This window comes from Homo sapiens, chromosome 9, assembly GCF_000001405.40.
Source record: "Homo sapiens chromosome 9, GRCh38.p14 Primary Assembly".
Classification (NCBI taxonomy): domain Eukaryota; kingdom Metazoa; phylum Chordata; class Mammalia; order Primates; family Hominidae; genus Homo; species Homo sapiens.
In genome coordinates this window covers 114,683,077-114,705,236 of record NC_000009.12, presented here as the reverse complement: position 1 = coordinate 114,705,236, position 22,160 = coordinate 114,683,077, and the positions used below count along the sequence as shown (strand labels likewise).

The following is a 22,160-nucleotide window of genomic DNA, read 5'->3' as shown; positions in this document are numbered from 1 at the left end:
TGTAGGTCCCAGAGCAGGCAGAGCTGGGCTCAGATCCTGCCTCCAACTGGCTGAGTGAACTTGGGCAAAGTGTGGACCCCTGTAAGTCTTAGTTTCCTCATCTGTGAGACAGCAGTGACAATCAATACCTATTTTGCTGGTTTTTATGATGTTTAAAAAAGAAGCAATTAAACATAGAGTCAGCCAATGTTTGTGGTGGTTGCCACTGTTAATATCATATACCATGAAATCAGGGTAGGTTGCCCTCCCCAGAAGGGCAGCTAGGTGTGGCCAGTCTTGGGAATCCAGCCTCTGCTGGGGAGTCGTTACGTGGTTCTAAGCAAGTCATTTAACCTCCCTGAGCCCCCATTCCTTCTTATGGGCAATAGATTTTTTTTCCCCCCAGAGTTTTGCTTTTGTCACCCAGGCTGGAGTGCAATGGCATGATCTCGGCTCATTGCAACCTCCACCTCCCAGGTTCAAGCAATTCTCCTGCCTCAGCATCCTGAGTAACTGGGACTACAGGTGCATACCACCACTCCTGGCTAATTTTTGTATTTTTTTTTAGTACAGATGGGGTTTCACCATGTTGACAAAACTGGTCTCAAACTCCTGACCTCAGGTGATCCGCCTGCCTCGGCCTCCCAAAGTGCTGGGAATATAGGCATGAGCCACCACGCCTGGTGTGGAAAATAGATTTTAATACTATCCAGACCTCAGAATGTTTCTGTAATATTCAACTAAGACAATAGAAATAATAGTGGTTAGAAAACTCTGTAGCATGACTCCATAAAAGGAAAATTATGATTTAGATGTGACTGGACAACAGTAATTCTAAAATGCTTTCATTCCACAGTTACTCAGGATGCAGGCAGAAAAGAGATGAAAATTAGCAGTGGGAGAGGTAAGATAAAATCAAAATATTTGGGGCCTGGAGCAGTGGCTTATGCCTGTAAACCTAGCACTTTGGGAGGCCAATACGGGAGGATTGCTTAAGGCCAGTAGTTCGAGACTAGCCCCATCAACATAGTGAGACCCCATCTATGTTGGAAACCTCTAATAGCACAAAATCTACCCAAAGCAGAACATTTGGATCCCATCTTAAACCCTATTTCGTTATTTCTACTATTATTTCATTTTGGATTACAATCTTTTTTGTCTGTTTACTTCCCAAGAACAGTTGTCTTTTTTCTGTTCTCTGGTGTTACTAAACAATAGAAATACTCCAGTTAAGAGCTTTCATAGCAACAATCCTCCACGTGGCTAGTCAGGAGCCAAGGTAAAATTCTATGGGACAGCAGACACAAAGCACCTCTAAAGCAATACTGGTCTTTCCCACAAAGGGAATGAGGAAGCCAGCTGAGCAAATGCAGGAATCCTTATAGTGGCCTAAAAACATCAGTTCCAGCCATGCATCATCTTTCCAGGTCTTAGAAAGTGGACAAGACCGAGAGATCACACCATGCCCGATTGAATCCAAATGCTGCCCTTTAAAAAGTTACCTTATGCATTAAAATGGTCTCCTCACCCAAAAACAGGGATAACAACATGTATCTAGAGGATTGTTGTGAGGGTTACATGAATAAACTATGTAAAAGGTTTATCCAAGGGCCTAGTGCCTAATTCCTAATTAAGTGCTCAATAAACAGTAGGGTGTTTTTTTTTTTTTTTTTAAATCTCCAGCTGGAACTTTGAGGCTTTCTGTTCTTTGCTGTTTGTATCTGATTTTCCACATAGTATCCTCTTTTGCTTTCCCAATAACCCAACCAGATGTCTATAGATAGGACTCATTAGCACCACTTGACTGTTGGAGAAATGAAGTGACTTGGCCTAGGTCACACCGGGGATGACTAGAGGGGAAGACTCAGTGCCTTCCAAGGCCTGCAGTAAAAGGCTGGCCTCACAGGCCCCAAGGAGAAGCCCCGGAATCACCAGAGGAACAGAGCAAAAGCCAAGGGTGCCAAATCCCATACAAAGCCCCCTACATAGGGTGAAATTCCAGACTCAGTACTCTTATGGAAGAGCAAATGTGACTCAGTTTCCCCACCCCCATCTGAGCCAGGGCCTGGTGCCAGTGCTGCCCAGCTGACTGCCGTCGGAGCCACCAGCACCTGACCACAGACAGGCACCCATCAGCTTCCCACAAAACTTGTCCTGTCGGGCCGGGCGCGGTGGCTCACGCCTGTAATCCCAGCACTTTGGGAGGCCGAGGCGGGTGGATCATGAGGTCAGGAGATCGAGACCATCCTGGCTAACAAGGTGAAACCCCGTCTCTACTAAAAATACAAAAAAATTAGCCGGGCGCGGTGGCGGGCGCCTGTAGTCCCAGCTACTCGGGAGGCTGAGGCAGGAGAATGGCGTGAACCCGGGAAGCGGAGCTTGCAGTGAGCCGAGACTGCGCCACTGCAGTCCGCAGTCCCGCCTGGGCGACAGAGCGAGACTCCGTCTCAAAAAAAAAAAAAAAAAAAACGAAAAACTTGTCCTGTCGGCTTCGGATGAGCAGGCCCCTCTGTGACCGGAAAACCAGACGTTCTGCACCACAGTTTCCAGACTCTGACGTGGGCGCCCGCTGCTCAGCCGCCGTGGGAAATCTCTTTCCACAGACCAATATCAGCAGGTTTACCATAAAGTTACCATCTCACAGCTTCCAGCCCGAGTCCCTAGTTAGTCATGCTCCTTCTGGTTTCCCGTTAGATACGGGAACAGAAAGACCCCAGAGATGTGGGAAACTGCTCCCATGATTTTCACTCTCATGAGCCCCATAAGGCCCTGAACTTGACCAGCACACCCGGAATTGTCTAGGCTACCAGGGCCCTAGACTTGTAGACTCTTGACAGTTGGAAAAACCCTCAGAGAACACCTAATCCAGGCATGGGCCAAATTTTTCTCTAAAGGGCCAAATTATAAACATATTAGTTTTGGTGGGTCACACCCAGTTTCTGTTGAATATTCTTCTATTTTCATTATGCCCTTTAAAAAAAAAAACCACTCTTAGCTCAAGAGCATACACAAACAGGCCTGGGGCAGAATTTGGCCTGAAGACCATGGTTGGTGGATCCCAGCTTCACCCAACCCTCTCACCACACAGAAGGAAAAACCAAGATCCAAAGAGGTTAAGTATGCTTGCCCAAGGTCACCCAGTGATTAAGACAGGCATTTTTCATATCTGACTCCTGGGCCACTCTGCCTCCAGGATTAAGACTTCTTTACTGTATTTCATTTTTTAAAAAATCTGCCAACCTCTGGTTCTTAACCAATATGCTTAACTGCTTTTTCAATGTTCATAGTGCAATGTTCATAAATGTGAGAAGATAAAAAACATGTTATTTAAAATAAAAACTAGCTGTCATTGCTGCCTTTCAAAGATGATGTTGTTTCTATCAGAAGGAAGATAAATCTGTGTGGTGCCCTGTTGTCTGGCAGAGCTGGTAGGGAGAGAGAAAGGAATAGACTGACATTTCAGAGTCTTTCCCAGGTTCTCTGGCACCAGTGAAAGTAGTGGGAGGTGGGGAGGCATTGAAGAAGACTGCCCATGGCTTTAAAGAGTCTTTGGGCGTGCAAAGGGAGGCCCCATGCCACATGATCTGTGGTATCAGCCTAAATTACTTAATAAAAACAGGGAAATCAGGAGGGCTGATGGGTGAAGATCCTAATAATAGGTAAGTAGAGAGTGAGAGGAGAAACAGCCACATGACAGAGTGGTACAGACAGAATGTAAAGATCAGGAATGTCTGATGTTAGCATGAAGGGATTTCTGTTAACATGATCTAAGCCTCCTTTATGTCCCCCGAACCTCTAATAAAGGACACTGCACACAAAAACCTTTGGTGAGCATTTTTAATTTTGCTTTTTTTGTTGTTTTTTGAGGAAATCGAAGACAGCTTGTTGGGGAAAGTGAGGTGGAATAGATCAGCACCTATAGGAATAGTCCATGTGCTGAACAAATCCAGCAGAGTGGGGCATCTCAGAGTAGAGGTGGCCAGGAAAATATAAACCTCTCCCAGTGCAGTGTCTCCTGCCCAATATCCTTCTCTCTTCCTTCTGGCTATCCACACCCCAATTCTTTTAGTGTCTCAAAATTTCCAGCCCTATTCAAGATTCTCATTTTCCCAGTTTTCCTCGCAGCTCAGAAGGGCCACTTGACATGGTTCTGGTTGATAAGATACTGACAGAAGCCTTGTAGGAATTCTAAAATAGTGTTTCTTTTTTAATAAAAAGGAACAAACATGGCTAACAGCATCAGCTTCTTCCTTTCTTCTTTGAACAGATACACGATACCTCCAGCAGGAGCCTTCTTGCTGACACTCACCAGAACTTCCCCCCATGATGGAAATGTTCTACATTTGCACTGACCCAGCACAGTAGCCACTGGCCACTTGTAATGTTGCTAGTGGGAAGGAGGAACTGGATTCTTTTCCATTTTTCTTTAATTTTAATTCATCTCAATTTAAATAGCCACCTGTGGCTAGTGATGACCTTATTAGACAGCTAAAGTGAGACATTCCTAGAATCTCTACTCAGTGTTGAGCCACATGTCTTCAGACTCCATGTTATATAAGAGAAATAAATGCCTAATTTTTAAATCACTGTAAATCAATACATTTACCTGCAGTTATATGTATTCTAGCAGATCCTACTGAAATGGGACAATTCCCTTGACCCCTTCATGGGACCCCTCATGAAGGGGGTGGCTTGTTTACTCGGCTACCATGCTCCATCCCTTACAGGAGGGAGCACATGAGCAGATGGGTGCAGGAACCAGAGAAAAAAAGGCTGGAACCCCCAGCCATTCTTTCCAGCAGGAGCAGGCCCTGTATAGGCCTCATGGCTGCATCAAAGCATATTACAATTCTCTTTTAGCTCTGCCATCCAGGATGGGGTGCCTGCAACCCCTGAGCCCCAGAGGGCATGTTACCAGCTCAGTGGCCCTTTTGCCTCATCGTATAGAGCAGCTGCCCCCTGCCAACAAGGGCAAAGGGCCAGTGTGACAGCCTTTTGAGGTTCCCACACCCAGTGGGTCCCAAATTCTTGTCCAGTGTTCAGAAAGAATCAGGTCACACGAACAGTTTGAAAGGTGATGAATGCGGAGTTTTTATTGAGTGACAGGGTGGCTTTCAGTGGCATAGGGAGCTGGAAAGGGGATGCAATGGGAAGATAATCTTCCCCTGGAGTTCAGCCGTCCCAGGATGAACTCCTTTCTGACTGTCCATAGCCAAACTCCTCACCACGTTCAGATGCTTCTTCTCTCCTCTGCTGTGCCACTCTGCTGCTCTGCTGCTCATGGAGCCTGGGATTTGGGGTTCTTACAGGCATAGGATAAGGGGTGGAGTGGGCCAGACTGGTCTTGGAAAGGCAACATTCAGGCACAAAAATAGGAATACTTGTTCTCATTTAGGGCCATAGGTCCAGGCTTGAGGGTGGAGCCCTCACCAGGGACCCTGCCCTCCTGCCTGTGTCACTACCAGAGAGAGAGAGAGCTTAGGAGATCCCCAGGGCTTCCACTGCCCATGAGATAACATTCAAGTCAATCAATCCCATTTTATTTGCATTACAAAGGATGGTTACTATCAGCTAACAATGAGTTAGGAGACTATCCCAAACAGAAAGGAAGGGGTAGAACAGAGTTCTCTTCTCTCACTCAGATCCTCTTTTTGACCAAAGTCACAAACTTCTGTAACACCCAAAGTTGGGGGAAGCTGGCTGTCTAGAGTCAAAGTGAAAAGTAGAATGAGATGTGCCAGGTCTGTCATGTCCCGGCTCCGGTTCTTTTCCTGCCACACCCACCTTGGGCAAGTCACTTCTCTCTGAAGTTCACATCCCTCATGTGTAAGGTGGAGGATAATCAAGTTTTTCCTGCGTAGCTCAAGGAGTCATTGTAGGCTCAACTCAGAATGGATGGAAGTAGATTGTGTAAATAGTAAAGCACTAGCGAGGAAATTTCTAGAGAATATCATTCCAGGCAACACTGAAGGCCTCAGCAAGTCTCATCACCTGCTCTGAAAAGTAGAGACACCTAACATTCTGCACTGGTTGGATGTTCGCCTCTAGCTGTACTCTTCACTTTGACTCTAGATGGCCAGCTTCCCCCAACATTGGCTGTTGTAGAAGTTTGTGACCTTGGTCAAAGAGAGGATCTGAGTGAGGGAGGACTCTGTTCTACCCCTTCCTTTTGGTTTGGGATATTCTCCTAACCCAATGTTAGCTGATTGTAACTGTCCTTTGTGATGCAAATAAAATGGGATTGATTAACTTGAGTGTTATCCCATGGACAGTGGAAATCTGGGCTCTTTAGGCCCATATTTTGTTTCCAAGTAGTAGAGGATTCCACCACCTTGCCAGGTGTTGGGAGAGTCCCACTCTCATAAATGAAGATGGAGTAGGCACAGGCACCCGTTAGTACCTGGAATGACTGCAGGTCAGTAACCTCAGACACGTGCAACATAGCTGAACTCTTATCACTGCCCCACGGTAGGTATTTATTCCCCCCAAATGATGATAAGTCAAATCTGAACACAGATGTAGGTAGTAGGCTAGCAAAGCTTCTAGGGTAGCTTAGAAGTAGGGAGCTGGGGAGAATAGATTCCCCTCCAGGAAACGCAGAGAGAGAAGCCCGGGATCCCAGAGCAGTGGTAGCACACAGGATAAGCAGAAGCCATAGGAAGCCTGCCGGGAGGGAGGGTGTCATGAAAAACGGTTTGGGCCAGAAAAGCAGCCTCCAGGCTGAAATACATAGGAAGGTTTATGTTAACATACCCCACCATCATCCTTTACCCACCAACAATGCCAAATAGAATTGGATTATACTTACCTATATACCATTAAAGGATAATTGCTAGAAGAGCACATAATCATAACACTCACTGAAATATCAAAGAATTGCATATCAATGATTTAGCTCATTAATTTGTGAGAGAACTAGTAGGACGTCACATCTAGTTGCAAGGATAATTCCAAGAACCACATATACACAAGCAAGAAATACTGAAATGAATAAAGATGCAAAACTGGTTTATTCCACAGGAGATGTGGTAAGACAATTGTATTACCACCAGAAAATGTATTTGCATATCTACGGACAAGAACCATTTGCATCACTCTCAGTCATCTACAACTTACAGTTCTGAAACAGTTCAAAGGCAACGAAAGGCCCAGAGGCCCCATAGAAACACCTAGTTTTCTGATGAAGACACCCAGTCATCTTTTCGGTCCATTTCAAAGTCATTCACCATTTTTCCTACAATATCAAGATCTTATCCCAATCACCTTATGTCCTCACTCTCAGTTGTCCATGGGAGCATGGGAATGGACAGAACTTTCCAGGAAGTGATATGGCCTATCCTGGAGCTAGGGAAAATGAAAGTGAGCAGTAAGAAGTGGGCATGAAATATAGAATCCTTGAGCACAAAAAGACCTCATACCAAAGACTTTATTTTACAGAAGCAGAAATAGACCAGAGAGGAAAGGGGATTTTCCTAAAGACACAGAGCAGAGTGGACATGACACCTCCCCTTCTATAGCACACACTTTTTAAGGCAGAGGGGCTGAAAAATGGAGGGTACCAAGGGATTACTTATTCTCTCTGGTCTAGGGAGAGTGACTACCAGAAACCTCTCCCCTAAGATGTGTTCTTTACCTTCCTTGAGCCACATCTACAAAACAGGGGTGGTACTCACACCTCCCTCACTGTGCATTGTCAGGTTTAAATGGGACAGGTTTAGATAGAATGCCTATCCCATAGCAGGTGCTTCATAGACATCATTTTCTCTCACCCTCCTGAGTAGCTGTGTGACCCCAAAGAAGAGACAGGGGTCATTCTGCTTTCACTTGGCCGGGGGTTACAATCATACAAAAAAGACTGTGGCTTCTTACCCACGATGAGTCATATGCTGCTTTCCATCTCAGTTTCAATTCATCTGGAGACAATTCTGATGATTTCAGACCCCGGGCTCTTTCAGCCCCAAGGCCTCAGGCCACTACCACATTTCCTCTGCCAAGCTGCCCCCTTATAACAAATTTGAAGAAAACACAGAAAAAGAGGAGAAGACAAAAAAAAATTAAGTATAAAAGTTTCCCCCCCATTCTCCAGGAGTCAGGTGGTGGGTGGGTGGGTGGAGACATGGCCAGGCCATGGTGGGAAGAGCCCCAGTGAATTATACCCTTGGTGCAGGGAACCCACAAACAGAGACACTGGCCTTGTTTCCCATCACTGCGAAGCCATCATGACCTTCAAACAGCTTGCAGGGCGGGGCCCTTCACATCTTCTGAGTCCTGATATGACTGAGCATCCATTATATAACCATGTTGTGAATAACTTGGTCTCAGTCCTCGACCACAATCTCAATTTCGGGGCATCCCTGATCTCTCTCTGCAGAGAGATTCAGAAGAGGCCCCAGAGATAGTAAAAGTTGGGGGATGGTGGGAGTTGTTTTTTGCTGTTGTCTTATTCCGATTCACACCACCATGTGATAATGGGACCTTTCCCTTTCTCTGGGAGTGAACCTTGCAAAACCACCCAAAGTCAGAGCAGGAAGGGACCCCCAAAGCTCCTGGGATTTAGTTCTCCACCTTCTACCGGGTGAAATGGCAAACCTAATAAAGGCAAAATCCTGGCTCTTCCAGAACTGATAAAAATGTAGACCCTGCCAGGCACAGTGGCTCACACCTATAATCCCAACACTTTGGGAGGCCGACGTGGGTGGATCATCTGAGGTCAGGAGTTCGAGACCAGCCTCACCAACACGGCGAAACACTGTCTCTACTAAAAATCCCAAATTTAGCCAGGTGTGGTGGTACACGCCTGTAATCCCAACTACTCAGGAGGCTGAGGCAGGAGAATGGCGTGAACCCGGGAAGTGGAGCTTGCAGTGAGCCGAGATTGCACCACTGCACTCCAGCCTGGGTGACAGAGCGAGACTCCATCTCTAAATAAATAAATAAATAAAATCTTCAATGGAACCTTTGTGAAGCTCAACACATCTTCAATTAACATGCTGAGGATTGTAGAACCATATATTGCATGTGGGTAGCCAAATCTGAAGTCAGTAAATGAACTAATCTGTAAGTGTGGTTATGGCAAAATCAATAAGAAGCGAATTGCTTTGACAGGTAACACTTTGATTGCTCAATCTCTTGGTAAATATGGTATCATCTGCACGGAAGATCTGATTCATGAGATCTATACTGTTGGAAAATGCTTCAAACAAGCAAGTAACTTCCTGTGGCCCTCCAAACCATCCTCTCCAGAAGGTGGAATGAAGAAAAAGACCACCCATTTTGTAGAAGGTGGAAATGCTGACAACAGGGGGGACCAGATCAACAGCCTTCTTAGAAGAATAAATGAAGATGTCTACCATGATTATTTTTCTAATCTGGTCAGTTAATAAACAGTACCTGCTCTTGAATTGAAAAAAAAAAAAAAAGGAAAACTCAATTATCAACCTTAGTTTTATCTCCTTTAAAATTTGTATCTTATTTAAAAAATATATTATCAGAAGCTCAAAGAACCATGAAGCCTGGGTTAAAATGCAGTAAGCCGGGATCATGCCACTGCACTCCAGAGCCTGGGCAACAGAGCGAGACTCTGTCTCAAAAAAAAAAAAAAAAAAAAAAAAAAATGAATTCTTAAAACTTTTTCTGGCTGAGCACAGTGGCTAACACCTGTAATCCCAGCACTTTGGGAGGCTGAGGTGGGTGGATCACTTGAGGTCAGGAGTTCAAGACCAGCCTGATCAACATGGTAAAACCCTGTCTCTATTAAAAATACAAAAAAAAAAAAAATTAGCCAGGCATGGTGGTGGGTGCCTATAATCCCAGCTACTCAGGAGGCTGAGGCAGGAGGATGCCTTGAGCCTGGGAGGCAGAGGTTGCAGTGAGCCAAGTTCATGCCACTGCACTCCAGACTGGGTGACAGAGCAAGACTTAGTCTCAAAAAAAAAACAAACAACAACAACAACAAAACTTTTTCCTTGGCCTTCTCTCTTGCTGACAAGTTCTATAGTACTTAGAAATTGCCCAAGAGAGATTCCTACTTCTGATGTGTTTTGTTCTTGGTTTGCTTTTGTTTTTTTCCTGAGTTGGCAGAGGTGGGACTGAAACACATGTCCCTTGCTTCTCAGTTCAGTTCTCAGGCCACAGCACAACTGTTTTCATGTTATAAGCTCAGGACCTCTGAAAAGGCTTCTCATCTCCAAAATAGACTCTTCCCAACCTGAAAGTGAAGCTTAAGAAGCCTTTCGCAATGACTCACTCAGAAGCAAAGGTTCCCCAACAGAGAAGCAAGTCATGAAATAAACACCCCACAAGCTCCAAGCACCCCCGTGTGCCATGCGCAGTCTCCAAGCCAGGAGGGTCTCAGAGAACCGTAGAGCCATGGGAAACTGCTCTCTAGTGCTTACTTTCCCCCTGTATTGGACACGGTCAAGAGAACTTCCTCCCCTGTCTGCCTTTTTTCGCTGCCTTTCCATCCATCCCTCCATTCATTCAGTCATCCATCAACAATAGATTGGATCCATTAAGGCCCCAGCTTTCCTTCTACCCTACACCCATGACATAGATATAAAAGTGAGGTGTCCTCCTACTCTGTCTCTGGGCCCTAGCCATGTTTCTTGTTTTAGCCAGCAGAAAATCAGAGAACATGGCACAAGCAGAGGCAAGAAAAATTACTAGCATGTTCCTATTTATCCCTTGTAGCCTCTTCCATGGGCATAAGCCAGCCTGCTGGAAGATGAGAGACATGAACCAGGGTCAAGTCACCCAGTTGTCCCAGCCATGCCCATTATAGACCATCCAGTAGCCAGCCAACTGCCCTGATGTATGACCAACCCCAACCAATTTCAGCAGAACTGGCCGGCCATCCCGGGCACAAGAGCAAGAAACAGGCATTGCCATAAGCCACTGAGGTTTTGTATTTATTACTAAGCATTATTGTGGCAATAAATCACCTCTACATTCCAGCTAGCAGGAAGGAGGAAGGACAAAAGAATGTTTCCAGAAGTCACATAGGATGCTATCAGTTATTTGTCATTGGCAAGAACTCAGTCTCACAGCTGCCTCCACTGCAGAGAAGATTGGAAAATAATGGTCTTTATTCCAGACAGTTACATTTCCAGCCACAAATTGCAAGTTCTATTATTAAGGGAGAAGTGGTGAAAGGAAACTGGGAAACAATTAGAAGTCTTGCTGCAAGTGCAGACAGGTTTGGGATCAAACAGACGTAGGTCCATATCGCAGCTCAACCAGGGACTCAACTTGTGACCGTGGGCAAAATGTTTCCTTCTCGGGGACCTCAGTGTTCCTATCTATACAGTGGGAGCAAGGGAGAGTTAGTCCGCATGGGCTCTTAAGCTCCTCCTGGCTCTTTCCTTGCTAGAAATCAAAGTGAAGATTTTGAAGGGGTTGGCCTTCCATCAGATGCTAGCAAAGATGAACCTATTTACACACCTAGGTGACATTGCCCCTTCAGTCTGAAGCTATTTAGTGAACAAAAAGGCCAACACCTAGCAGAAACTTGTGTTGGAAAAAGATCTGCCTGGGCTCGCTCTTGCTGCTTTTCAAGTTACATAGAAGCAGCTGTCTGGTGCAGGCATCTAGTCCATTAAGGCCTCTAGCTATAACCCTCAAGCACCCAGTAGAGGTCAGAGAACAAAGATCCAATTATGTTGCTCAACTCCTGCCTGGGACTCCATCTAAGGAAGCAGAGACCCAAAAAGATATGGAAAGGGAGTGGTCTGATAGTCAAAATCCAGCCAGGCAACATTTATATGGTCCTGTTTGGAGTAGGAATAGAGAAAACTACATTTTAATTTACCATCATCAAATTACATAGCCCATATGTGTACTTTATAAAGAGGAAAGAAACCTTTACTCAGAGTGTAATTACAGCTTTCTAAAAGTCCTATAAATCTTTATAGTTCTGCAATGAAAGAAACTTCCCACTTTATATTTGATAAATCAGACTTACGTAATTTACAACTCAAGAATCCTCTTACTTTTACTCTAAACCTCAAGTGTACTTATCTCTCCCCTTGAGGAAAAAAAAAATTCAAAATAGCACTGAAGCCCAGGGCCCTCAGAATGCTCTATCTGCCACAAAATTCACGACTGTCCTGAATTTTGTAAGAAATGCATGAATTATAACAACAAAACAGCAACATTAGGTATTGAGTGTTTACTCTGTGCTTAAAACTTTGAGTTCAATGTTTCAATGCATCCTCAAAAAGCCATTAGGCATTACCATGCCACTTACAGGCATGGACACTGAAGCTCAGAGAAGCCACATAAGTCATCTAAGGTCACACAGCTAACATACGGTGAGCTGGGATTTCATCTTAGATAGTTGTCTCCACAGCAAAGCACTTGGCACAGTGTCTTACACATAGTTAATGTCACAAATGTTACTATTATGCTTACTTTCCTTAAAATGATTTCTGCCAGTCAGGCACAGTGGCTAACGCCTGTAATCCCAGCAGTTTGGGAGGCCGAACGGGCGGATCTCTTGAGGTCAGGAGTTTGAGACCAGCCTGAACAACATGGTGAAACCCTGTCTCTACTAAAAATACAAAAAGTAGCCAGACGTGGTGGCAGGCACCTGTAATCCCAGCTACTCAGGAGGCTGAGGCAGTAGAATCACTTGAACCCCAAGGGTGGAGGTTGCAGTGAGCCAAGATAACATCACTGAGCTTCAGTCTGGGCGACAGGAGACTCAGGCTCAAAAATCAATCAATCAATCAATCAATAAAATGATTCCTGCATATATTTGGGCAAGGTGGTCCCACAGATTCCTTAACCCACAGTGTCTAGATGATTTTCATTGGCAAACCCATAATTTTTCCTGTAAGTTTCCCACATCCCTGCCAAAGCCAGAAGATTTGTCTTATTTTATTGGTTTCTGAGAATGTTGATTTCACTTTTTAGGGTTTCATCAGAACAATCTTAAGAAATAATCTCCTCTGGCCAAGCGCAGCAGCTCAAGCCTATAATCCCAGCACTTTGGGAGGCTGAGGTGGGAGAATTGCTTGAGTCCCAGAGTTAGAGACCAGCCTAGGCACCATAGTGAGACTCCACCTCTACAAAAAATAGAAAAAATTAGCCCAGTGTGCTGGTGCATGCCTTTAGTTCCAGCTACCCAGGAGGCTGAGGTGGGAGGACCACTTGAGCCAGGGAAGAAGAGACTGCAGTGAGCCATAATAGTGCCACTGCACTTCAGCCTAGGCAACTGAGCAATACCCTGTCTCAAAACAAACAAAAGAAAAAAAAAATTTCTTCCATATCTCTGAAAATTAGCACACTGTCTTGAAATCAGTTATAAGGCTCAGTATAGAATCATCATGAAGAAGCTTTTGAGCTTCATGAGCACAAAAGCATAGAGAGGTGGGTGGCTACCGAAAGACAGCACAGTGTGTCATCGGGGAAGGCACAGAAGTCTTTCCAAGATACAGCACACCATGCAGTTCAAAATGTAACTTCATACATGCCAGCTCTTTTTGCCCTGAGCAAGGTGGGAATTGTGGGTGTCATTTTAAAGATGAGCAAATGAGACTCAGAGAAGGAAAGTGATTTGCCCTGCATGGGAAAGGCAGAAGTCTGAATCCAACTAGGGGTGGGTAGTATGTTTGGCCATGGACATTCCAGATGACTTGGTGACAAGAAAGCATGTGTGGAAGGAAAGGGAAGCCATATTGACTCTGAATCACATGCTGCCCTACACTGCGGCGGCTCCTTCCTCCTTCTCTTCCAAAAGGGAAGCACAAAACACAGCACCAAGAGGAATGCCCACCAAGTGCTCCTGAGAGATGACCTGCACTGTAACACTGTTCCTTGGGCCATCTATTGGGGGAGAGAGCCTTAGAAAGGGACGGGCACCACCTCTTCGGAACCTAAGCCCTTTCCAATGCTGCCCAAGAAGCCTCAGAGTGATGCTCTCTAGCTTCGCTCCACAGCAAATAATGGCACTGTGAAGTTTCACTGTAATAAAGAGATGATTCAGTGATTACTCAGAGAAACCATAGAATTTCAGAGATGCGCTCCTTAACCACAAACGTGTACAGCGATGCCAGCTTCATCTCCCTGCTGCAGCCTTCGCATTTGGGGTCAGATCTGAGTAATAAATGACATCTTAAATGACTGGTGACAGTGTTCACTCTTCCTTCCTCCCCAGCCCCACCACACTCAGAACTCAGCCACTGTGGCAAAATTTTAATACAAAGCCTTCAACAAGAGCAGTGAAACTTGTCTTCTCTCCATTTTCTCACAAGCCTCAAACTGATACTGGAAATTTTTTTCTCTGTCTCCAGTGTAATCGAAAAATATATTTTTATTAAGCAGAAATCCAAAAGTCAAGCCTATTTTTAGAATGGGAAATTACATTACAGAGGATGATTTTTTTTCCAAAAGGTTTATAAGTATCAATTATGTATGAGCCACAGAAGGGTTTTGTTTGTGACAATCACCTTGGGGCTTTGAAGAGAGCTTAGGTGCTAGGATTCTTGGAAATCAAGAATCTGAAGTAGTTTGAAAGAATAAACCAAATTTCCAGCTCAGAAACCATGGACAAGTGACGAGTTTACATCCACAATGATGCCCTCCCACAGCTTCTTAGGAGGGAAACAAAAAACCATCCCATAACTTTTAGTATATAGGTCATGGATACAATGGCTGTGATAGTTAATTGTATAAGTCAACTTGACAGGATCATGAAATGTTCAGCTATCTGGTTAAACATTATTTCTGGGTATGTCTGGAACAGATCAGCCTTTGAATCAGTGGACTAAGTAAACTGGTTTGCCCTCCTCAATGGGGGTGGGCAGCATCCAATCTGTTGGAGGCCTGAACAGAACAAAAAGGCAGAGGAAGGGAGGAGTCAACTTCTCCCTGCCTGACTGCCTTAACTTGGACATCCACCTTCACCTGCCCTCAGCACTTACAGTCCTCAGGCCTTCGGACTCAACGCGGGATTGTACACCATTGGCTTTCCAGCTTGTAGATGATAAGACATACATATAGATGGAGACAGAAAGAGAGAGAGGTCGAGAGAGAGAGACTGAAAGAGGGAGGGAGGGGAGGGAGGGGGAGGGAGAGGGAGGGAGAGAGACGGAGAGAGACAGAGAGAGACGGAGAGAGACAGAGAGAGACAGACAGAGAGAAAGAGAAACAGAGAGAGACAGAGAGACAGAGAAACAGAGAGACAGAGACAGAGAGACAGACAGACAGAGAGACAGAGACACAGACAGACAGAGACACTGAAAGAGAGAGACAGAGAGAGAGAGACACCGAGAGAGAGAGAGACACCGAGAGAGAGACACCGAGAGAGAGACACCAAGAGAGACACGGAGAGAGAGAGAAAGAGAGAGGAAAGCAGGATCCTAGTGGTTCCGTTTTTTGGAGAACCCTAACACAAGGATGTATCTCAAAAGAGGTTTTCTAAACCCCATTTATTCACATATCACTGTGACTCTATTACCTCTACTCTTATTTCCTTAATATTTTTCTTTAAACCATATTATTCTTTTACATTAAAACAAAGGTACATACCACTACCATAAATAGAAAAGATCAACACAAAAATAAACATAACAAAAACAAAACAATGAGCTTAACTTCTAGCCTGATGCCATCACCTGCCAAAGACTCAGAGCCTGCCTGCTGTTCTCTTTTTATTGTGAGGGAGGTCAGCAACTGTTTGGAGGCATTACTGAGGGGGTAGCATCCAGCTAAATTTAGGTAATTGAAAGGACTAAAAAGGGAGTCATTCCTTCATGATGTGAACCAGTGCTATAGAATGTCATGTCCATGTTTGGCCTTAAATTTCCCCACTTCTCATCAGGGGACTGGGCCCCACACTGCAGGAAAATATTTCACTAATGTCTTCACCTAGGAAATGTCCCAAGATCTCTGATTGATTAGAGCTCTTGTTCAAAAACAAAGGTGGAATGAAATAAATTCGTTCAACCATCATGGAAAAGTGTGGTGATTCCTCAAAGAACTAAAAACAGAACTACCATTCAACCCAGCAATCCCATCACTGGGTATATACCCAAAGGAACATAAATCATTCTATCATAAAGACACATGCACATCTATGTTCATTGAAGCACTATTTGCAATAGCAAAAACATGAATCAACCTAAATGTCCATCAGTGGTAGCCTGGATAAAGAAAATGTGATACATATGCATGATGAAATACTATGCAACCATAAAAAAGAATGTGATCGTGTCCTTCGCAGGAATATGGATGGAGCTGGAGATCATTATCCTTAACAAATGAATGCAGCAACAGAAAACCAAATACTGCATGCTCTCACTTATAAGTGGGAGCTAAATAATGAGTGTACATGGACATAAAGAAGGGAACAATAGACACTGGGGCCTACTTGAGTGGAGGGTGGGGAGAAGGAGAGGATCAGAAAAAATACCTATCAGGTATTATGCTTAGCACCTGGGTGATGAAATAATCTGTCCACCAAACCCCCAAGGTGTGAGTTTACCTGTATAACAAACCTGCACACGTACCCCTGAACCTAAAAGTTTTTTAAAAAAGAAGAAAGGGGAGTGAGTGATCTGTCCTCCCTCTCATATGGACAGTACTTCGTAGATATAAAGAGATCTTGTGCCCTGTATCTCACTTATCCACTCTGTGTAACAAACCACCCAAAAATTCAGTGACAACACCCAGTTTTCATCACTTTCTTATCTGTGAGTAGCATGCGGGTCAATGCTGGGCCTAGCTGGGTGCTTGCCTGGAATGACTGATCTATGTTTCTCGTTGTCCTCCAGGGACTAATAGGTTAGGGGGGGCATACTTTTTCTTGACACTGGCAGAAGAGCAAGATCATAATTGGCAGCATAGGGGAACTTTAAGGCATAAGCTCAGAACCCTAATACTATTCTTCTGCCCACAAGCCATTGGCCAAAGCAAGTTACTTAGTCAAATCCAAAATCAAAAGCATGGAAACACATACTGTCCACAATGAGGCCATGGCAAAGGTATAACCATAGGCAGGGATAAAGAATTGGGGACAACAGTTCAATCTATCACACTCAATATCTCCTTTGATCTTTCTGGAAACCTCCATTTGAGTATCCTTTAGAGCCAAATGCAACATGCTCAGAACTAAATTTAAATTCTTACCTTTATGATCAGTTGATTTTCAACAAGAGTACAATGACCATGTAATGGGGGAAAGAATTGTCTTCTCAACAAATGGTGCTGGGACAACTAGTTAGCTCCATGCAAAACAATGAAGTTGGACCCCACCTCACACCATATACAAAAATTAAATGGATGATCCACCTACGTGTAAGAGCTAAAGCTATACAACTCTTAGAATAAGACATAGGAGTAAATTAGGCCAGGTGTGGTGGCTCACGCCTGTAATCCCAGCACTTTGGGAGGCCAAGGCAGGTAGATAACTTGAGGTCGGGAGTTCAAGAAGAGCCTGACCAACATGGTGAAACCTTGTGTCTAATAAAAATACACAAAATTAGCCAGGCATGGTGGTGTGCCCCTGTAATCCCAGCTACTTGGGAGGCTAAGGTGGAAGAATCGCTTGAACCCAGAAGGTGGAGGTTGCAGTGAGCCAAGATCGCGCCACTGCACTCCAGCCTGGGCAATAAAGTGAGACTCCATCTCAAAAAAAAGAAGACAGGAGTAAATAAATCTTTATGACCTTGGGTTCGACAATTGGTTTGTTAGATGTAACACCAAAAGCACAAGCATCAAAAGAAAAAAAAAAGATAAATCTAACATCAAAATTTAAAATTTTTTGCTTCAAAGGACACTATAACTATTAAGCAAATGAAAAGATAACCCACAAAATGCAAGACATATTTGCAATCCATAGATCTGACAAAGGTCTAGTATACAGAATATATTTTTAAAACTCTTAAAACTCAACACTAGAAAGACAAATAACTCAATTTCTTAAAGGGCAAAGGATTTGAATAAACATTTCTCTTAACAGGATATGAAAATGGCCAATACATACATAAAATGATGCTCAACATCATTAGTCATTAAGAAAATACAAATCAAAACCACAATGAGATAATACTTAAAACACACTAGGCTGAAATTTAAAAGACAGACAGTATAAAGTGTCATCAAGGATGTGAAAAGACTGGAACCTTCAAACATTGCTGGCAGCATTGCAGAATGGTGCAGCACCTTTGGAAAAAGTTTGGCAATTCCTCAAAATGTTAAACATAGAATTATCATATGACTTAGCAATTTCACTTCTAGGTATATAGTCCAGAGAAACAAAAATATCCATCCACACAAAAACTTGCACACAAATATTCATAGCAGCATTATTCATAGAGCCAAAATGTGAAAACAACCTAAACATTTGTCAACAGATGAATGAATAAACAAAATGTGATATATCCATACAGTGAAATTTTTTTTTCTTTTTTTTTTTTTTCTTTTGAGACCGTGTCTTGCTCTGTCACCCACACTGGAGTACAGTGGTACGATCATGGCTCAATGCAGGCTCAACCTCCTGGGCTCAAGATATAAGAATGACAAAAGTAAAAAATAGTGGAAAAAAAAAAAAAAAAAAAAAAAAAAACAACCCTGGAGAGGATTCAGAGAAATGTGATTACTCATATATTGTTTATGGAAATGTAAAATGGTACAGTCACTCTGGAAAATAATATGGCAGTTTCTTTTAAAACTAAAAATTGATTGACCATACAATCCAGCAATTGTATAGTAAATTGGGCATTTATCATACAGAAATGAAAACATTTTCACCAGAAACTAGTACACAAATGTTCTCAGTAGCTTTATCTGTAATAGCCAAAAACTGCAAACCATCCAAATATCTTCCGATGGGCGAATGGTCAAAAAATCTTTGGTACATGCATTACTATGGATTACTACTCAGCAATAAAAAGGAGCTAACTACTGATACATGTTCCTCATGTATATGAGGAACAAGGAAGTTGTGCTGAGAAAAGCCAACCTCAGAAATATACATATATACTGCATGTGTCCATTTATGTAATATTCATGAAATGACAATTATAGAATGTAGAACAGGTTAGTGGTTTCCAGGGGTTAGAAATGTTGGGGAGAGGGAGTGGGTGTGGCTATAAAGCGGAAGCAGAAAGGAACCTTGTGGTGATGGCACAGTTAAGTACCGTGATTGTGGTGGTAGTTACACGAAGCTACACATGTAATAAAATTTCATGCAGCTATACACATACACACACAAATGAGTACTTGAATAACGACTGAACTTTGAATAAGCTCTGTAGATTGGGCCAATGTTAATTTCCGATTTTGATCTTGTAATATAGTAAGGCAAGATGTTAACATTGGAGGAGGCTGGGGGATGGGTTCATGGGAACTGTCTGCAGAGAGAAAGTTACAAAGTTACCTCTTTGTTTCTCTCTAAAGAGAGAAAGCTACAAAGTTACCTCTGTAACTCTCTGTGCATTTGTAATTATTTCAAAATAAAGTTTTGGGCCAGACACAGTGGCTCAGCCTATAATCCCACCACTTTGGGAAGCAGAGGTGGGAAGATTGCTTTAGCACAGGAGTTTGAGACTAGCCTAGGCAACATGGCAAGACCCCCTCTCCACAAAATTTAAAAATTAGCCTGGCGTGGTGGTGTGTGCCTGTGGTTCCAGCTACTCGGGAGGCTGAGGTGGGAGGATGGCTTGAGCCCAAGAGGTCAAGACTGCAGTGAGCCGAGTTCATGTCACTGCACTCTAGCCTGGGCAACAGATCGAGACTTTATTTAAAAACAAGGCTGGGCGCGGTGGCTCACGCCTGTAATCCCAGCACTTTAGGAGGCCGAGGCGGGCGGATCGCGAGGTCAGGAGTTCGCGACCATCCTGGCTAACACGGTGAAACCCCGTCTTTACTAAAAAAAATACAAAAAAAAAAAAAGAAAGAAAGAAATTAGCTGGGCGTGATGGCGGGCGCCTGTAGTCCCAGCCACTCGGGAGGCTGAGGCAGGAGAACAGCGTTAACCCAGGAGGCAGAGCTTGCAGTGAGCGGAGATAGAGTCACTGCACTCCAGCCTGGGCGACTGAGCGGGAATCTGTCTCAAATAAATAAATAAATAATAAAAATAAAAATAAACAAAATAAAACTTTTGAAAACCTAAATTGAATTCCCTGATTTCACATCCACAGGTGTGAAAGCTAATCCTTCACTCTCAACACCAGATAATAATAAGGAAAATTTATTGAGTGCTGCCTCTCTAGCAGGCACTACATTTACAGCTTTCCATGGCTGGTCTAATTTACTCCTCACACCAACTCTATTATTATTTCTATTTTAAAGTTAAGGAAACTGAGAATTAGAGGGGTTAATGGCTATGGCCCAGGTCATGCATTAAGTTAGGAAGGCAAGCGTCCCACCCAGGTACTCGGACCCCAGAACTTACCCACTGTGAAATCACCAGAGTAAAAATCCACCCATTTGTCTTAGCCCAGTGCATCAGGTCAAGATTTCATTATTCCCTACCTGAACCAGAAATTAATACAGAAGCCTGTTGGCCCATCTCCCCTCCCAGACCCAAAGAGAAGAAAGTAATCACACCATACATGCTTGAATGGTAAACCACCCCAAACAGAAGGCAGTTTCTTTATGCAAAGATTTTAAGTATTTTCTCCAATTTGAATATATACACATTTAGTGCTATGGGTGAAATAATCAAGCATCAACTTATAAGTAGTCAGTACCTGATATGTGTTTGCCAGAGCATATTATATAAAATACATTAATTTGGAAATACCTGTGTTGCTATCCATATTAGTCTGTTTTTACACTGCTATAAAGAAATACCCACGACCAGGTAATTTATAAAGAAAAGAGGTTTAATTGACTCACAGTTCTGCATGACTTGGGAGGCCTCAGGAAACTTACAATCATGGCAGAAGGGGAAGCAGTCGCATCTTACATGGCAGCAGGTGAAAGAGAAGAGAGCGGGAGCAACTGCCACGTATAAAACCATCAGATCTCGTGAGAACTCACTCACTATCAGGAGAACAGAATGGGGGAAACCACCCCCATGAGTCAATGACCTCCCACAAGGTCCCTCCCCCGACGTGAGGATTACAATTTTGATTACAAATCCAGAGGAGATTTGGGTAGGGACACAGCCAAACTATATCACTATCCTCAATCTTTCATTTTCTGAAACAATTTCATTCAAATGCTTCATACACATCTTTAACCTCATCTAGCACAGGTTTTCAGAATATATTATCTTCATTTCTAAGTTATTTTTTAAATAATGCTTTTGAATCTGTATATAAATAATGCTGTTCCTGAAAAGCTCATCCCAAGCTAAAAAGGATCCATTTGTATCACATCAATGAAATTTATGATTAAAAAAAAACCTCTATAAATCAGTAGTTCTTAATGCTGGCTGCGAATTAAAATCAACTGGGGAGCTGTAAAATCTATCGACACCTGGGCCCTTGCCCCCAAAATAGTGATTTTACTGACTGGGAGCAGGTGCTAGGAGTGGCATTTTCTAAAGCTCCTCCCATGATTCTAATATACAGCCTGATCTGAGAACCACCGCTTACCTGTATATAATGACCTGCACAATGGAATTCAGCAGTTCTTGATTATACTCAAGAATCACCTGGAAATTTTTGTAAACATACTGCTACCCAGTTTCCACACCCTACCAAAATTATAATTTATCTGGGGTTAGGCCCCAGGTATTCTTTGTTTTAAAAACACTTCAAGTGAATCTCACTTGCAGCCAAAATGGAGAACCTTCAATTACCATTTAAGAGTGTGGCTTTAATCATTCTGAGCAAACTATCGCAGGGACAGAAAACCAAACACCGCATGTTCTCACTCATAGGTGAGAATTGAACAATGAGAACACTTGGACACAGGGCGGGCAACATCGGACACAGGGCGGGGAACATCACACACCGGGGCCTGTCGTGGGGTGGGGGGAAGAGGGGAGGGATAGCATTAGGAGATATAACAAATGTAAATGATGAGTTAATGGGTGCAGCACACCTACATGGCACATATATACGTATGTAACAAACCCGCACATTGTGCACATGTACCCTAGAACTTAAAGTATAATTTAAAAAAAAAAAGAATGTGGCTTTACCTGTGAGCTTTCAAAGGCTGTTTAACTCACCATCAAATATTTATTAAAGGAATTCAGCACAGCTGTGGAGTCACATCACCCGCCC

At 43.5% G+C, this 22,160-nt stretch overlaps 1 long non-coding RNA gene across 2 annotated transcripts, besides 5 other annotated features; it reads right to left on the bottom strand.

Annotated features, from left to right (window-relative positions):
• Nucleotides 1–5,045: 5,045 nt before the first annotated feature.
• On the bottom strand, nt 5,046–9,387 carry LOC105376231 (uncharacterized). 2 transcript variants are annotated; one of them, XR_001746578.2, is made up of 4 exons: nt 7,849–8,629; nt 7,243–7,323; nt 6,788–6,839; nt 5,046–5,281 (listed from the first exon to the last, which is right to left on the bottom strand). It is a non-coding gene; the product is annotated as an uncharacterized LOC105376231 (long non-coding RNA). The 2 variants fall into 2 exon arrangements; XR_007061745.1 differs by having other exon boundaries at nt 6,788–9,387.
• Nucleotides 6,932–7,131: an enhancer, noted in NCBI's record as "active region_28878". NCBI's record gives its function as "activates an Ori minimal core promoter by ATAC-STARR-seq in GM12878 lymphoblastoid cells {active_cell/tissue: GM12878}" and the evidence as "EXISTENCE:reporter gene assay evidence [ECO:0000049][PMID:35858748]".
• Nucleotides 8,117–8,236: an enhancer, noted in NCBI's record as "active region_28877". NCBI's record gives its function as "activates an Ori minimal core promoter by ATAC-STARR-seq in GM12878 lymphoblastoid cells {active_cell/tissue: GM12878}" and the evidence as "EXISTENCE:reporter gene assay evidence [ECO:0000049][PMID:35858748]".
• Nucleotides 8,247–8,296: an enhancer, noted in NCBI's record as "active region_28876". NCBI's record gives its function as "activates an Ori minimal core promoter by ATAC-STARR-seq in GM12878 lymphoblastoid cells {active_cell/tissue: GM12878}" and the evidence as "EXISTENCE:reporter gene assay evidence [ECO:0000049][PMID:35858748]".
• Nucleotides 13,466–14,665: an enhancer, noted in NCBI's record as "P300/CBP strongly-dependent group 1 enhancer chr9:117452852-117454051 (GRCh37/hg19 assembly coordinates)". NCBI's record gives its function as "activates an origin of replication core promoter dependent on BRD2, BRD4, P300/CBP, MED14 and CDK7 cofactors, with strong dependence on P300/CBP, by STARR-seq in HCT116 cells {active_cell/tissue: HCT116}" and the evidence as "EXISTENCE:reporter gene assay evidence [ECO:0000049][PMID:35650434]".
• Nucleotides 13,943–13,992: a silencer, noted in NCBI's record as "silent region_20217". NCBI's record gives its function as "represses an Ori minimal core promoter by ATAC-STARR-seq in GM12878 lymphoblastoid cells {active_cell/tissue: GM12878}" and the evidence as "EXISTENCE:reporter gene assay evidence [ECO:0000049][PMID:35858748]".